The sequence below is a fragment of the Homo sapiens genome, chromosome 4 (assembly GCF_000001405.40).
Source record: "Homo sapiens chromosome 4, GRCh38.p14 Primary Assembly".
Taxonomy (NCBI): Eukaryota; Metazoa; Chordata; class Mammalia; order Primates; family Hominidae; genus Homo; species Homo sapiens.
In genome coordinates, this window is record NC_000004.12 from 88,285,083 (window position 1) to 88,303,619 (window position 18,537).

Here is an 18,537-nt window from a genome sequence, read left to right on the forward strand (position 1 = left end):
ATGTCTATTAATTCATTAAACAAGTATTTCTGTGTTTATTGAAGGACGTCTTGTATGCTATACATTTGCTAGGCACTGGGGATACGCCCCTAACACAGCTAGACACGATAGCTGCCCTCATAGAATTTTCAGTCTAACAAAGAAGAGGGAGAAAACCAACAAGTAAGCAAGCACATAGAATAGTAATTAATCATGTCAAGGAAAGAAATAGGCATGGTGTGGACACTGGAGGATAACTTCAGATAAGATTGTTATATGAGAACTTTATAAGATGGCATTTAAACCATCAGTCATTCAGCCATGGAACCAATAAAATGATGAATTGTTTTGGGCAGAGGGGACAGCAGACAAAGGTCTCTCGGTGAGACAGCCCGGCGTTTTGGAAGAACAGAAAGAAAGCCAAAGTGTCTCCAGCATATTGAGGGAGGGAAAGAACAGCATGATGTGAGAGAGATGAGGCAGACAGGGGCTTGGAGTTGGCATTACATTTTAAATTTAATGGGCTTCTATTGAGGCATTCGAAAAAAAGAAGTGAAAGGGTCTGGGTTTAGACTTTACATCACTTTGGTTAGTGTGCAAAGAACAGTTAAAATAAGCTATTGGGAAACTGATTAGGAGATGATGACAGATGAAATTTAAGGTGGAAGATGACTTTGATTAAACTATGACAATATCACTGAAGGGAGAGAAGAGCAGAGAGATTAGAGATTTTAAAGATAAATAATTAACTTGATTTGGCATTTTAGTTATTCTAGGCCAGGGACAACTGTTTTGAATCCAGTGCATTTAATAACCAGGTTAGAGAGTGACTCTCATATTGACGGCTCACAAATTATAGTAATAACCTTGAGTAATATTATGTTGAGTTGATGTCTTTTCATAGACTTCCTGGATTTTTTTTTCTTTTGTCTTTCTTTCTTTTTTTTTTTTTTTTTTTTTTTTTTTTGAGACAGGGTTTTACTCCTGCCCAGGCTGGAGTGCAGTGGCGCTATCTGAGCTCACTGAAACCTCTGCTTCCCAGGCTCAAGTGATCCTCCCACTTCAGCCTCCCAAGTAGCTGTGACTACAGGCACGCTCAACCATACACAGCTAATGTTTATATTTTTTGTAGAGATGGGGCTTCCCCATGTTGCCCAGGCTGGTCTTGAACTCCTGAACTCAAGCAATCCACCCACCTCAGCCTCCCAAAGTGCTGGGATTACAGGCATGAGCCACTGTACCTGGCGTGGAATTTAAAAAAATAATAATTTTATTGAAACATGTGTCTTAAAAAGTGCACATATCCTAAGTGTAGACAGCTCAATGAATTTTCACAGTCTGCAGACACCTTTGTATCCAGCACCCAGATCAAGGAACAAAACATTATTAATACCTGGGAACCCCATCAACCTGCCTTCCAGGCACTGCCTTCTTCCAAGGGGAGTTTCTATGCTGACTTTCAACAGCATAGGTAGTTTTGCCTATCTTTATACTTGTTATATATAAAGCCATAAAGTATGTGTTCTTTTGTTTCTGGCTACTTGGACTCAACATTACACTTGTGAGATTCTTCCATATTGTTGTATGCAGTTGTAGATCATTCATTTTGTTTTCCATTCTGTGGATATACTGTAATTTATGAATTCATTCTTCTGATGGACATTAGGGCAGTTTGCCATTTAGAGCCATTATAGATAGTGCTACTATGAGCATTCTACTACATATCTGTTGGTGATGGCTTTCATTTGATGGAGTATTTTGGTAGCTAAGTTACTATTAAGTTTTTAAAAATCTGCTCATCAATAATGTAGTATCATGTGTTGCAATATCTCAATCATTTGGATCAAAATTTGGTGCAGATAATGAGGACTTTGCTTTCACAAATGTGAAAAATTTTGGTAACAAGAAAGATGTGGGAAATTTTAAGCTTGGAAGTGTAAAATATTTTGAATTGTCCTGGAGTTTTGACCTTTTTTATAACCACTTGCATGCCCAGCATCTGAGAACATCATGACTTTGCTAAATCCTTGTACCAAAACAGACTGGAATCCAGAGTCACATGATAAGCAAAGCCACTTAGGCTGTTCTGAAGAATATCTTTGATACTAAAACAGTCCTTGAAATTGCCTTTGAAAATCACACCATTTCACACTCTACCACAGCTCATTAAAATTAAAGCCAGCAGTTTACTTCTTTTGAATTATATGCTTCTGGGTTTTGAATCTCTGAAGCATAGCTAAATACACCACAAAAATAATTCATGGCCAGCACAGTGGTTCATGCCTGTAATCCCAGCACTTTGAGAGGCCAAGGCTGCCAATCACTTGAGCTGGGAGTTCAAGACTAGCCTGAGCAACATGTCAAAACCATGGTCTCTACAAAAAAATACAAAAATGAGCCAGGCATGGTGGCGCATACCTGTGATCCCAGCTACTCGGGAGGCTGAGGTGGGAGGATCACCTGAGCCCAGGAGGTCCAGGCTGCAGTGAACCATGATCTCACCACTGTACTCTAGCCTAGGTGACAGCACTTTGGGAGGCCGAGGCGGGTGGATCACAAGGTTAGGAGATCAAGACCATCCTGGCTAACACGGTGAAACCCCGTCTCCACTAAAAATACAAAAAATTAGCCGGCGTGGTGGCGGGCGCCTGTAGTCCCAGCTACTTGGGAGGCTGAGGCAGGAGAATGGCGTGAACCCGGGAGGCGGAGCTTGCAGTGAGCCGAGATCGCGCCACTGCACTCCAGCCTGGGCGACAGAGCAAGACTCCGTCTCAAAAAAATAAAATAAAATGCACAATTATTGGTACACCAAACCCCCATGAAATGCAGTTTATCTGTATAAGAAACCTGTTCATGTACCCCAGAACCTAAAATAAAAGCTTTTAAAATGTGAATAATGTGTAAAGGAAATCATTATTTGGTATTTGACAAAAAATTAAAAAATGGAAAAGAATTCACCACAGAGGCTGACTTGGCATGACAGATCACTGCACAATGTACAAAATAATCAAGGGGATATGGCACTCCGTACATTCATTAAGTTGAGCTACTTCTTTATTCAGTTTATATTTTATTTTATTTACTTATTTTTTTTTAGAGACAGGGTCTCCCTGTGTTTCCCAGGCTGGATTGCAGGGACTATTCACAAATGTGATAATAGTGCACTATAGCCTTGAATTCCTGGGCTCAAATGATTCTCCCGCCTCACTGGAGTAGCTAGGACTACAGGCATGCACCATTGTGCCCAGCTCAGTTTATATTTTAAAGAATTGGACCATCTGCTGAAAACCACTGGCTATCAGAAAATTACACCCAAAACAATTCACAGGGCTTTGGGTGGGTGGGTGGTATGTATAATTGCAGAATTATTAATATTCACTAATGAATCATTTGTTGTTAAAATTAGATATGGACATTTTTGTATACTCAGAATCAGCAGTTTTCTAGAAAAGTATCTGTAGGCTACTCTTGGCCTCATGCCTAAAACATGGGCCTGGGATACTAGGATGTATTTTTTCCACAGTTCAGGCTGCTCTGTCCTGAATTGCTAGCCCAGATGTCCCTTCTCTGTGTTACCAAGATAATTGCCAAAACACTGACATAGAGAATTTTTAGGTCTGTTGCAGTGGCTCATCCCTGTAATCCCACCACTTTTGGAGGCCAAGGCAGGAAGACAGCTTGAGGCCAGGAATTCGAGACCAGCCTGGGCAAGATAGTGAGACCCCTGTTCTACAAAAAAAAAAAAAAAGATTAGCCAGACATGGTGATGTATGCCTGTAGTCCCAACTACTTGAGAGGCTGAGGTGGAAGGATTACTTGATCCCAGGCGTTTGGGGTTGCAGTGAGCTATGAACATGCCACTGCACTCCAGCCTGGGCAACAAAGCAAGACCTTGTCTCTTTAAAAAAAAAAAAGAAAAGAAAAGAGAGAGAGAGAATTTGAAATCTTGTCCTTGGATGCAATTAAACTTGCAGCAATGATTTTATTTTAAAATATGATTGTTGCTTCCCCCACCCTGTATAATTTACCTCTAAAAATTTGGAATAAATAAGCTTCAGGCCAGGCGCAGTGGCTCATGTCTGTAATCCCAGCACTCTGGGAGGCCGAGAAGGGTGGATCATTTGAGGTCAGGAGTTCGAGACCAGCCTGACCAACATGGCAAAATGCCGTCTCTACTAAAAATACAAAAATTAGCTGGGTGTGGTGGCGTGCACCTGTAATCCCAGCTACTCGGGAGGATGAGGCAGGAGAATCACTTGAACCTGGGAGGCAGAGGTTGCAGCGAGCCAAGATCATGCCACTGCGCTCCAGCCTGAACAAAAGAGCAAGATTCTGCCTCAAAAAAAAAAAAAAAAAACTTCGACCAGTACCAATGCTACAGAGATTTGAAATGTCTTTCCATTTCCACCTCCGATTATTTGACTATTATTCATTCTATTTGACCCTTATTCAAGCCTTTAATTGCATGTTTCCCATCAGAGCTGTTGTGAGAACAATCATATTTTGTAAATGTATTTTGTAAGAAAGGTTATACAAAATTGTGTTTTATTTAAATCACAAAATGCTCAAAATCAAGGAAGCGAAATATGATAGTCATTATTAGCATTGTTTGCTAAATGTTTACTGTTCTTCATCACCCAAGCCAGTAGTGCCAGGCGAAGGCAGGCATCTGTGACTTGTCCTGGTCAATGAATTGTGAGTGGAGGTGATGGGGTAATTTTTGAGTGAGCATTTCGTATCCCTGTGCAAGACCCTCCAAGGTTCACTCACCTCTGCCATTGCAACCAGCAATGTTCCAGAGAATGGCTGCTCCCTGAATGACTCCAAGGAAGAGAATTCCACTGCAAGCCTATGATAGCCATGGAACATGAACAAGAAACAAACCTTTGATGTAGTTTGTTACTGGATCTTAACCTAACTTCATGTATCCTATCTCAACTGATAGAAATATTAACCCTAACTTAAAATTAACTTAAAATTATTTACTTGAATTGTTCTTGGGGTAATTTTAGCCTAAGGGAAATTTTCATACATTTATTCAATAAATATTCATGAAGATCATACTATCTATCAGAAACTATGTTAGGCTGTGGACTCATGGCAATAAATGAACAATATAAACCTGGTCTCTGCTTTCATGAAAATTGGAAGGAAAATTTGAAGGTAGGCAACTATGTATGATGAATGCTACAAGTGAAAAAGTATAGTGTTATTCAGTGTGGTTGAATATTATACAAAGCTACCAAGAAACAATGGAGAAAGAGAAAACAAGTTTCTAATTCAAGAAGTATCTTGAAAAGATAGAAAACATTCCTTATATTTGAATCCGAAGCCCTTCAGGGCTAACATTGCTTTTGACCCATGTGGGTCCTCAAGCAAATACCCAATTTCCTGTGCCTCTGTTTCATTATCTGTAAAACAGCACTAAATATAACCTGCCCTGGCTAACCTATATAATCACTTCCAGAAATCAATTAGGTAGAGAACATAAGTGTCCCATAAAAATAAGCAGTGTTATTATTCTTTGAAGCTTTTACAGTGCATTGAAGAAGCCTATAAATATGTAGTTTAAAAAATTGAAAACCCTATAAAGCAACATACAAACACATTTAAATTAATGTTGTATCTTTCTAGCTGTGGGAAATGGTGCATAATAACACAGTGAAAATTATACCTTGGATAATCTAAAAGTCAATGTTTATTGCCAAGTAATATCTGCTAATGCGCTATTAGAATATGGCTGAAACAGGCCAAAAATTCCCTTGTAATCCCTATAAAGAATATTCAATAAATATTTTTCTTGTCAGTGGAATGAAGTGAATGTATAAATAATTAGTTTTGTCCAAGCTGAACAACAGAAAAATGCACGCAGTATTAAGAGAAACTGCCTTTGTCTTTGAAATCTGTAACACTGGAAGTGTGTATGCTTATATCCTATTGGAAATGATGTCCAGTTTTCTAAACTCATCGCTCTCTTCTGAGTCTCCTTTATATTAGAGTTTGGAATATCAAGGTAACATTGTAAGAGATGATGAAAAGCCTGTTTGTCACTGGTTGTCAAGCAACCAAATGCACGTACAAACACACCGCCTTATTTTGTACCGAGTGGGTGTAGGTGCTGAACTGCTTTTCTATTGGTCAGTTTCTCTTCCAATGGCAGAAAAGAAAGTATTATTTTTCCAGCTAATTGACATACTCTGGGAAAGGAACCAGCTATGTTTCTTTCCCTAGCAGTGTTAGATATAGACTTTAAACCAGGGCCAGTTTTATAAGTTATTGTGGCTTTGGGCAATCTAGATTTTATATGCAAAAATACTCCAGAAAAAGTTTAAAAATTCAAATTTTGTGCTATGAGAAATGTGCAAGAGAGATCTGTTTTCTTGAATATACTTTAATTAATATAAGGAAATAAGAATCCACAGTCATTCTGCCACAGTGAAACCAGGAAAGACCTTACCCAGGTCACAAATGACAGCAAAAATGATGTTTCCTAACCCCACCCTGTCTTCTCATAGACCATACGAAGTGATAGGAAGCTGGAATCTGGGAAGAAGGAGAATTACAGCAAAGGAAAAACGGGAAGGGGACCAAGAGAGGGACAGCAGGCTGCCCACATGAGGGACCTCTGTATGGCCTGAAATGTATTTCAATGTAAAGAGTAAAGGAAAAGATGCTCATTGCTCTTCCAGTAACAAACTGGATACCCCTGTATAATGCAAGGCTGTACTATTTTCTACCTGTTCTCTCTTTCCCTAGTTTCTCCCTCCTCCTAACGAATCCAACACCTTTTGATACTCTTTTCATCTTATGACATTATTTCACAAAGTTTCACTAGCTCCCCATTTCCAGTAGGGGAAAAAAAAATCCTAAACTTCTGAGGCTGGTATTCAAACTCTTCCATGGGCTGTTCCTGCCATGGAGCAGGTAGAATTCCTGCTTCTTTGGGTGACTTAAGTCTTTTTCTCTTAGGGACTTCAACTGATTGGTTGAGGGCTACCCCCATATGGAGGATAATCTTCCAGATGAGGTCTACTGATTTAAATATTAGTCCCATCTGAAAATACCTTCACAGCTAGACTGGCATTGGACAAAATATTAGAGAACCTCGGCCTAGCCAAATTGGCAAATAAAATTAACCATGACACTAACCCTTACAAATGCTTCCTCTGTCTAGGCACTGTTCTAAATGTTCTACATGTATCAACTCACTTAATCCTTACATTAGCCCTAAGAGAAGGGCCAGTGTTGTTATTGTCATCCCCATTTTACAGATGAGGCACAGAGAGAGAGGTTAAGTAACTTGCCTGAGGTCACACAGCTTGTAAATGATGGAGCCAGGATATGAATCCTTGCAGTTTGGCTCCACAGTTTATATTCCTAACTACTGTGCTATTTACCTCTCAAAAATAGAAAATGAAAGCTGAACTGATTGATAGTTTATATGTTCTTCCTATAAATGTCTTTGTTTGCCCACCATTAACCTCTATTCAATGTCAGTTTTTACAGAAACCTTACATATATCCACGCAATAGCCCTTTGATATAGATAGTACTATCCCAATGTTACAGATGAGGAAATTTTGAGGCACAAAGTTAATGACGTGCCTTAGGCCATACAGTGGAACAGCAGGGATTTTCACCTAGGCCCCTTAGTCTCCAAGGTATATCGTCTTACTACATTTCCTCTCTGTACATAGTTCAGCGAGGTTAAACATTTTAAGGATGTTCTGGGCCAGGCGTGGTGGCTCAGTTCTGCAATCCAAGTGCTTTGGGAGGCGGCTGAGGCAGTAGGATCACTTGAGCCCAGAACTTAGAGTGTAGGGAGCTATGGTCGCACCACTGCACTCCAACCTGAGTGGCAGAGTGAGACTCCCATCTCTTAAAAAAACAAACAAAAAAAAGATGTTCTGAATAATCTCTGTTTAAAACACATTAATTACTTTAACAAAAGTCAGATTTCTGTTTTGATACATTCCACAAATGAAATACACTGTACATAAAGGATAAGTTTCTGACCATTTCTAGTACCAGGAAAGAATCAAGTAATGACATGTTATTCAATAAGACTAGAACTTATATTAAGATTTTCTTTATTAATCTATTGTCTTTTTTTTTTGAGACTGAGTCTCACTCTATTCCCCAGGCTGGAGTGCGGTGGCATGATCTTGGCTCACTGCAACCTCTGCCTCCCGGGTTCAAGCCATTCTTAGGCCTCAGCCTCCTGAGTAGCTGAGATTACAAGCGTGCGCCACCACGCCTGGCTAATTTTTGTATTTTTAGTAGAGACGGGGTTTCACCATTTTGGACAGGCTGGTCTCAAACTCCCGACCTCAAGTGATCCGACTGCCTCAGCCTCCCCAAGTGCTGGGATTACAGGCATGAGCCACGACGCCTGGCCTATTTTCTAAAAGAAAGAGAATGAGGAAAGGTGAACTGTCTTAATAATTGACTTCAGTCATCATTTAGCAGCCACAGTGGGTCCTGTGCAATTTTATATATATATATATATATATATATATATATATATATATATATATATATATAAAAACATATTTGCCATCTTAAAGGAATTTACAAATCTTAGTTGTACAGGTACTGAACATGAAAAATTATGAGATTTATTTGAGAAAATTTGAAAATATAACAAAACTGCTGAAAATAGGAATGGATAGATCAGAGCTGAAAGAGATCATAGACATACTAGTGTAGTCATTATTGAGAAACTAACATAGTTGCTCCCAGGAGGTGAGATCCATTACATATTGTGGCATGGACAGCTAAATGTCTAATCTGATTTCCATTTTATGCTTCTTCCTTAGTAACAGAACCCCGATTCTTATGTAGGCACATTGCTGACCAAAATATAAGGTTGTTTTATAACCTTTCCTATAATTAGTCTGGCTGTACTGCTAACTTCAGTGCTGATAAGGTGTAAGTAGATATATGTGAACTTCCAGAAAGCCGCAACACAAGGATGCAGGCATACCTTTCTGTCACTGCTGTCCTGGAACTTAAGAATCATCTTGGATCATGAAGTGACATAGTCGAGATGGCAGAGCAGTGCCATCTTCCTTCCAGGGAGGAAGCTGGGTCTCTGGTAAACATGGGGAACCACAATAGCCCTGCACAGGGGTGAAAATATGTGATACCTTTTCTCATTCATGAGAAGGTTTGTGGCTGACACTCCTATAACAAAAGACAAACAAGAGAAAGGTGCAAAAAATTTATTTAATCAAAGTTTTTTGTGACATGAAAGGCTTCAGAAATGAAAGCCAAAGACCCAGAGAAAACTGTCTATTTGTATGTTTAGGTTCGATGAAAAATGGACTGCTGTGTAGAAATGCGATTGGACAAAAAGAGAAGGATCTAATGGTGATAGATTGAGTAGGGAAACCCAGCAAGGCCTATTTGTTCATTCTTCTGGGTCTCTGCATGGCATTCCTTCCTCTTGGGTATAGGACAGCACCCTTCTGGAATGAGGGTTGTATGACCTACTATCAGACAAGGTAGGTCAGAGAATATTTTTATGGCCAGCTCCTACACGGAAAGGCAAGGGAAAGTTAGAATAGTGTTTCTACATTTTATGGCTGGCTTTGGAGGAGAGGGATTCTTAGAAAAAAAAATTCTGGGCCAGGCGCCGTGGCTCACGCCTGTAATCCCAGCAGTTTGGGAGGCCGAGGTGGGCAGATCACGAGGTCAGGAGATCAAGACCACCCTGGCTAACAGGGTGAAACCCCATCTCTACTAAAATTACAAAAAATTAGCCAGGCATGATGGCAGGCGCCTGTAGTCCCAGCTACTCGGCAGGCTGAGGCAGGAGAATGGTGTGAACCTGGGAGGCGGAGATCGTGCACTGCACTCCAGCCTGGGCAACAGAGTGAGACTCTGTCTCAAAAAAAAAAAAAAAAAAAAAAGAAAAAAGAAAAAAAATTCTGATGGGGCCGATTTGGGTTTTATGCCCAATCTTTGAGCCATTTGAGGGTTAGCATTATAATTTGTCCAGTTGCAGGCCGGGTGTGGTGGCTCATGCTGATAATCCTAGCACTTGATGAGGGCCAAGGTGGGAGAATCACTTGAGGTCAGGAGTTCAAGACCAACCTGGGCAACATAGTAAGACCCTGTCTTTACCAAAAAAAATCGAGGTGGCCACTACAAGTGGCACATACCTGTAGTCCGGGGTAAGGAGGGGACATTGTTTGAGCCAGGAGTTCAAGGCTGCAGTAAGCCATAATCATGACACTGTACTCCAGCCAGGGTGACAGAGCAAGACCTTGTCTCAGGAAAAAAGAAAAAAAAAACAGGATTTTTTTTCTTCCTTTAGTTTAAAACAATACCAATTTATTATGTTCTTCTACAGCTGAGCTGGGGTTTAGCTGATCTGGGTTTAACTTAGCTGGGCAGCTCTGCATCTCACTGCAGGGCTGCAGGTTGGCCGAATCAACTTTGCCCTCCATGTCTCATTCTTCTTGAACAAGTACGATACCCGAGGCCTGTTCTTGTGATGATGGCAGAAGCATAAGAGACTGAGAGGAAGCACTCAAGGGTTTTTAACACCTAGACCTGGAACTGGGCACATTGTCATGATGTCTGCATGCCATTGGCCAAAAGGAGTCACATATCGTTATGGGATCTTTGGGGTGTCACTTTTTTCAGCAGAAACCTATCTGGCCAGTTGTGCCTTTGCCTGAGTTTGCTCAGGCCTGCTAGGTTCATTCCACTCACTTGGCCTGGTAGGCCGCTCTTGGCTCATGCTACTGGCCTGAATCCCATGCCTGCCAAGGGATACTGCGTGGAGCGGTGAAGGGTGTGTGGGCAAGCATGGTGTCCGACCACTGGACAGTCAGACATGCCCCTGCTGCAGCGGGCAGGGGCAGCACAGGTGCTGGCACCCTGCAAGTCTGTGGCTGGACCAGGTACACCACAAGCAGCTTCCACAGCTGGCACTGGGAACATGGTGGCACTCAGAAGCTTGAAGATGCCAGGAATTTCAGGGCCCCAAAGAGGGAATCACAGTCCTGGATCGGGGGGCTGCCAAGTCTGGGCTCCCCAAAGGGCTGCACCTCTTCTTTCCTTCTCTTTGCCCACAACGTTGTGAGCAAGGGGCATGTCTCAGTCCTGTTTGCATTACAACTCTTAGCCTCATTTGGTGGGTCCCAAGTTCTTGTCCTGCACCCAGGAAAAATGAGGTATGCAGACAAGTAGAGGGTGAGCAAGACAAAGAGGGGCTCTATTGACTGACAATAGCTCAGAGGAGACCGTGGAGTGGGTAGCTCCTGTCTGCAGCTGGTCGTCCTAATGTCTGCTGCTCTCAGCAGAGAGGAAGCCCTAGAGTGGGTAGCTCCTCTCTGCAGCTGGTTGTCCTGATGTTTGCATCCTGCTGCTGTTCATGGCACCCAGGCTGTAGGTGCCAAGGGGTGCATTCAGACCAGTGCCAACCTGCTTTCAGCATCCCCCCACTTCAGCTTCCCTCCTATGCTTGTCAGCACCCAAAATCTGGAGGGGGCCAAGGTAGCAGGGGGCTGGTGTGTCAACATTGCCCCGAGCGTGTGGACACCCAGCCTGGCTGTGACAGCACCCAGGTTTGGCCCTGACTTTGTTCTGAGATCAGAGTAGGCACTGACAGCAGAGAGAAGCCAGGCAGTGGGAGCAGGCATTTCTGAGCCTGTGAGGGCAAGGGTGGCCTTCCAGGGCCCCCAAGAGTGCAGGGATGCCTGGGTCCACAGCCCGTTTGGGTGGCTGCAGCTGCACTGGGGAGAGTGGGGCTCCTTCCTGCTCCTTGGAACAGGAGGCCTGGGTCTGCAGCCACAGTTTGGAGAGATGCAGCTGTGCCCAGGAGGGTGGGGCTCCTGCCTAGTCCCCAGGCCCTAAGAGCACAGGGATGCCCAGATCCATAGCTGTGGCTTGGGTGGTGACAGTCACACACAGGAAGCTCCTGCTCCAACTTGGAAGGATTGGGTCTCCCATTTGTCCTCAGCTCCCGCCAGGTTTATGCAGCATGCAGCCCCAGCTGTGCCTCCTTGCTGCAGCCGCTGCTGCAGATGGCACACTGCTGCCATCAATATGCAGTAGATTCAACATGACCATAAATCAATTTCAGTTCCTCCCATCAAGAGGTAGAGTTTTCTCCCCCTGCATGTATTCCTTGCCCCTTGAATATGAGCTTGTGACTTGCTTTGACCAATAGAATGTAGTAGAAGTGAAATTTATGGCTTGTAAGCCGTAGTCTAATAAGACCCTTGCAGTCCCATTCACACCCTCTTGGAATGCTACAGCCAAGACAGGAGGATCAGGAAGCCCAGCTCAGATTAACCTCTGTGTGAATGAAAGCCCACATGGACAGAGGCCCAAGCATCCCAATTTCCTAGCTCAGCTCTCAGCTGACCCAACAGCTGGATGTAACTTCATGAGTGATCCCAGGTAAGAGCAGCAAAAGAACCCCTATCCAACCTGCAGAATTGTTGCATAGTTGTTTTAAGCCACTAAATTTGGGGATGGTTTGGGATGCAGCAATAGATAAAGAATACAATATGGCTAAGCCCAAAATCAAGAGGCAGGGAAGTTTACTCTCCATATGACAAGTGTGTGGATGCATGGAGGGTGAAGGCTTGAGACCAACAATTCAATCCACTATCATGTATATCTGAATTTTAATTACTTTAATTCTAGATTGATCTTCAGTTGTTAGTGGCTCCTGACATATTAAATCTGTTTTCTAGCTCCCCAACCCATTCTATCTTTGTGATAGCTTATCTCCAGTTCTTTCCTTCCTGTGCTCACATACTATTCCTCCATCGAGAGGTGAATTCTATTTTTGTACTCTTGAATCTGAGCTGACTGTGACTGCTCTGACAAATAAAATACAGTGAAGTAATCCCTAACCTTTTAGAGGACTAGCAACTTCCACTCCCTGCCTCTTGGAAGTCTGGCACCATGTAAGAAGAACAACTATCCTGACTACTCTGCTATGAGAAAGCAAGTTTTTGGTACCTTATTAAAGACAAATGATCGCTTACACATATGTGTGGAGCCCTCATTAGAGAAAAGGAGTTAGGTTGGTGGGACCAAGGGAAAGCAAAAAGAGAAAGCCGATAAGCTGTAAGTCTGCCTTTCTTCATGGTCCGGGACACATAGCCCTTCTACACAAATAACTCACAATCATCCCGCACCCAGCTATCAGCAGACACCTGCAAGTTAGCTCACCGCAACCTTGGCATTATCAGTACTGCACAAAGCCCTCTTGAGCATACAGCATAAACACTAAGTCTATAAAATCTCCAGCAAGCCTTTGTTTCCTGATAGCCAGCTCTTCTTCTGATTCTACCACTTGCTCCCTGGCAACATATTTTTATACTTTCTCTAATAAATCTGCCTTTCTTTATCTACAACTGCCTTGGTAAATTATTTTACACACACGCCACTGGTCCAGATAGCCGTTGCTAACCCACAACATTATGTTTAGTGAGGTTCTATTCTGCATTTTCATTTTTTTAAGTGGTAGATATTGCATTTTGTTTATCTGTTCATCAGTTGATGGACATTTGGGTTATTTCCACTTCTTAGCTATTACAAATAATGCTGCTATAAACATTCTTATATAGGTGTTGGTGTGGCCACACGATTTCATGATTTTGGATATTTATCTACAAGTGGAATTGCTAGGCCAGATGGTAGCTACTACACATCTTTGCATCCCCTTTCCTAAAAGGATAAACTGGGGTTTTTTTGTTTTTTTATTTTTTGTAGAAATGGGGTCTTGCCGTTTTGCCCAGGCTGGTCTTGAACTCCTGGGCTCAAGCGATCCTCTCACCTTGGCCTCCCAAAGTGCTGAAATTACAGGCATGAGCTATCACACTCGGCCAAGGATATAAACAGAAACTGTTCAGTGTTAATGCAAACAATGTTGTATATTTATTCCTGGCTTCTATTCTGACTTTGTCTTCTACTCTCCCCAGGGTGGTTCTGCTCTGAGTCCCTTGGCCTCTGCAAGAGACAGCTACAGGCCAGGCGCAGCGGCTCACGCCTGTAATCCCAGCACTTTGGGAGGCCGAGGCGGGTGGATCACGAGGTCAGGAGTTCAAGACCGGCCTGGCCAACACGGTGAAACCCCGTCTCTACTAAAACTACAAAAATTACCTGGGCGTGGTGGCATGCACCTGTAATCCCAACTACTTGGGAGGCTGAGGCAGGAGAATCGCTTGAACCAGGGAGTCAGAGGCTGTAGTGAGACGAGATCGCCCCACTGCACTCCAGCCTGGTGACAGAGCAAGACTCCGTCTCAAAAAAAAAAAAAAAGAGACAGCTACAGGGACCATTCTCTTGCTTCATTCAGATCTCTGGTCACTGATAATTGTATTAGAGGGCTCTTCCCTGATCATTGCCTAAAACAGCTCCTTTTACCATCTATTCCCTTGCCAATCCCCATCTTCAGAGCACTTAGCACCTCAGATATTTACTCATTTATTTATGTCTGCCTTTCCTCAGACTAGCGGGAGGGGTGGATCTTCATTTTATAAATTATTGCATCCATAGCACCTACAGCAGAGCCCAAGTACTGAATACATATTGGTTAGATAAGTTAGTGAGTGAGTGAATGAATGAATTAAGAATCTTCGGTTTCCTTGAGTCCTCTACTGCATTGAGGACTGTCCAGTGGGAAATTATATCAAGTAAACATCATGCAAAGTTGGCTACTATCAGAAAATTCCAAGGGTCATTTGTGGGCCTAGCTGAGTCATGAAAGCAGAAAAGAAAATAGAATTTAAAATTAATCTCACTACTTCTGTTCTCACTTCATGGCATGGTTTCTGTTGCTTTCCTCTTTAGCTACTTAGGGAAAAATTAGGCCTTTTATATCCTTCAATGTTTTCTGTTGTCTACATTAAACATTGTGTGGCAGAGAACAGTGGGGCAAGTAAGAAACCTCACATCCACTGAAGCCTTAATTGTTGGTCCAAAAAGAGCTCACCTGATTTTACCTATGTGAGTGTTTTTAAAAATATATAAATTTTTTGAGACAGGGTCTCACTCTGGCTGGAGTGCAGTGGTGTGATCTCGGCTCACTGCAGCCTCAACCTCTCAAGGTCAAGTAATCCTCCCACCTCAGCTTCCCAAGTATCTGGGACCATGGGTGTGCACCACCATGCCTAGCAAAATTTCATATTTTATGGAGATGTGGTTCGCCATGTTGCCCAGGCTGGTCTCCTAGGCTCAAGCAATCCGCCTGCTTGGGCCTCCCAAAGTGCTGGGATTACAAGTGTGAGCTACGGCACCTGCCCTTTAAAAATTCTTAATCCCTAGAAGCACATGTCAACCTGGCTTTGCCCACCAGGTTTTCTTCATCTTACCACAGGTCTCCTTGATATGTTCTTAAAGTCCTTCCTTTCATCTCTCTTTCTTTCTTTGTCATTTGCCCCCACTTTTCTCATCTTCTGCCCCTATTCCATTTCAAGGGTTGATTTAGACAGCTACAATACTAGCAGATGTCTATATTTCTGTGTTACTTTCAATTTTCTGCCATGTAGTTTTTTGTTTGTTTTTTGAGATGGAGTCTCACTCTTGTTGCCCAGGCTGGAGTGCAATGGTGCGATCTTGGCTCACTGCAACCTCCGCCTCCTGGGTTCAAGCAATTCTCCTGCCTCAGCCTCCCAAGTAGCTGGGGTTACAGGCATGTGCCACCACGCCCGGCTACTTTTGTATTTTTAGTAGAGATGGAGTTTCACTATGTTGGTCAGGCTGGTCTTAAACTCCTGACCTCAAGAGATCTGCCCACCTCAGCCTCCCAAAGTCCTGGGATTACAGGCATGATCCATCACGCCTGGCCCGTATAGTTATTTCTTATCTCAGCTTAGTTATATTGAGCAAATGTTTGTGGACTAGGTGTTGTGCTGAACATTTGCTAGGCCTTAGAGATACTGACATTTTAAAACAATTTCTACTTATAGTATTTTGCAATGTTAGCAGTCTCCACTTTACTCCTTTATGTTGTGATTGTAAACTTCTTGCAACTTCTCTCTATGGGCTTAAAATAGCTTGTACATAGGTAGTGTTCATTAGTGTGGGAAATTAGTTGAACTGAATTCATAACCAATCTAGAATCTGCTTTCGAAATTTCTTCCACTCCTTGTCAATCCAATCTACATCTACCCAGGAGTATCCTGTAAGTAGTGGTGGCAGGTTTTTCTGTGGTGGGCAGTCTATCCAAACCTACCACAAAATCCGAGGAAGCTGAGAAGTCAAAGAAAGAGGTTGACAAATCCAATTTCTTAGAAGGAAACATTTAATAGAGACTTATGAACAGAAGCCATGTCTATGTCACCAGAGGCAGTGAAAAAAGATGGCAGATCCCCACACTATTACCTCCCAGACCCAGGGTTTATATACCAGAGGTGAGGGGCAGGCTGGCTTTGGAGGGAAGGAGTAGGAATTTTCCCTGAGGGCAGGATTGATGGTAAGTACATGCTCTCACACAAGGGACAATAGATGAACTGGACATCTCAGAGGCATTCCCAGAAGTGAGGTTAATCTGAAGTCAACATGGAGGATTACCGTCCAAGATGGAGTTACTCTGACCTCCCATCTAAGATGAAGTTGTTTTGACCTTCACATACTGTTCCACTTTTGACATTGAAGCTAAGAGGCAATTAGCCCAAGAAAATATTTGTAAATCATATATCTAATAAGGGGCTTGTATTCAGAACATATAAAGAACTTTTGCAACTCAGTAATGAAAAGACAAATAGCTCAATGAAAAAATGGCTGTACTGGTGACTGGACTCTGTGGCTCACGCCTGTAATCCCAACACTTTGGGAGGCCGAGGCATCAAGATCACTTGAGCCCGGGAGTTCGAGACCAGCCTGGGCAACACAGTGAGACTCCCTATCCCCAGAACCCAATCTCTACCAGAAAAAAAAAAAAATAGTCGGGTGTAGTGGCACATGCCTGTTGTCCTAGCTACTTGGAAGGCTGAAGTGGGAGGACTGCTTGAGCCTGGGAGGTTGAGGCTGCAGTGAGCTGTGATAATGCCATTGCACTCCAGCCTGGGTGACAGTCAGACCCTGTTTCTAAAAAAAAATTATTATTATTATTTTTTTTTTTTTTGAGAAGGAGTCTTGCTCTGTTGCCCAGGCTGGAGTGCAGTTGTGCCATCTCGGCTCACTGCAAGCTCCGCCTCCCAGGTTCATGCCATTCTCCTGCCTCAGCCTCCTGAGTAGCTGGGACTACAGGCGCCTGCCACCATGCCCAGCTAATTTTTTTGTATTTTTAGTAGAGACGGGGTTTCACCGTGTTAGCCAGGATGGTCTCAATCTCCTGACCTTGTGATCCACCCGCCTCGGCCTCCCAAAGTGCTGGGATTACAGGCGTGAGCCACTGCGCCCAGCCAAAAAAATTTTTTTAATGGGGAAGAATCTGAATAGATAGTTCTCCAAAGAAGATATACAAATTGCCAATAACCTAACAAAAAGATGCAACATCATTAGTCATTAGGGAAATGCAAATAAAAATTACAATGAGATACCACTTCACACCTAAAAGGATGGCTGTAATTTTTAAAAATGGACATTAACAAATTGTAGTATAATATGAAATACTTTTGGTCTTTGTCCCCAGTTCCTGTCACAGAGTACCTAAAACCTTTGGTATTTTTTATCTAGGGTGGGGCTCCGAGATAGCCTCAGGATGGGACTGGTCACTAGAAAGACCAAGTGATTAGAGGGTTGAAACTTTCAGCTCTACCCACCAAACTCTGGAAAACGTGTCGGGGGATTTTATAGCCCATTGGTCAGAAGTATAGGTGACAACCTACTTGGATTGGTGTCGGAAGTTGGGGGCAGTCTTGTGGGAAACAGCCTGTGGGATCTGATACTATCTAAAGATAGATAGTGTCAGAATTGAAATGAATTGAATTGAATTCTCTAGTGGACACCCAGTTGGTGTCCACTAGAGAAGTTGGTGTGTCAGGAAATACCTTTATGTATCTGGTCACAGAAGTGTTCTACGTTGAGTGTGTGAGTAGAGAGAAAAAACTGTTTGCTTTTCCTCTTCACATGAGTGTAGGCAAGGATGTGGAGAAATTCTCATATATTGCTGATGAGAATACAAAATGGTACAGCCACTGTGGAAAACCGTTTGGCAATATACAAAACATTAAACATAGAGTTACTATTCGACCCATCTGTTCCTAGGTATATACCCAAGTGAAATTAAAACAAATACACACCTCTGTAAAACCATGTACACTTGGCCCTCTACGTCCATGAAGTCCACATCCTTGCATTCAACCATGGATCAAAAATATTTAGGGGAAAAAGATAAAAAATAATAATATCCTGAAAGCTGATGGGGCATTAAAAAATAATACAATAAACAGTAATAAACATTAAAAATACAATATACAACTATTTACATAGTATTTACATTGTATGAGGTATTATAAGTAATCTAGAGATGATTTACAGTGGACCAAAGGATGTGTGTAGTTTATATGCAAATACTAAGGCACTTGAGTATCCTTGGATTTTAGTATCCATGGTGGTCCTAGAACCAGTTCCCCACAGATAC

At 42.5% G+C, this 18,537-nt stretch overlaps 1 long non-coding RNA gene across 3 annotated transcripts in view, besides 1 other annotated feature; it reads left to right on the forward strand.

The window, feature by feature from the left end:
* PPM1K-DT (PPM1K divergent transcript) overlaps window positions 1–18,537 on the forward strand; it is a 56,728-nt gene that overhangs the window by 153 nt on the left and 38,038 nt on the right. The window lies entirely within an intron of this gene.
* Window positions 11,273–12,239: an enhancer, noted in NCBI's record as "H3K27ac-H3K4me1 hESC enhancer chr4:89217507-89218473 (GRCh37/hg19 assembly coordinates)". NCBI's record gives its function as "activates a minimal SCP1, AML or CMV promoter by ChIP-STARR-seq in primed H9 embryonic stem cells {active_cell/tissue: H9 hESC(primed)}" and the evidence as "EXISTENCE:reporter gene assay evidence [ECO:0000049][PMID:30033119]".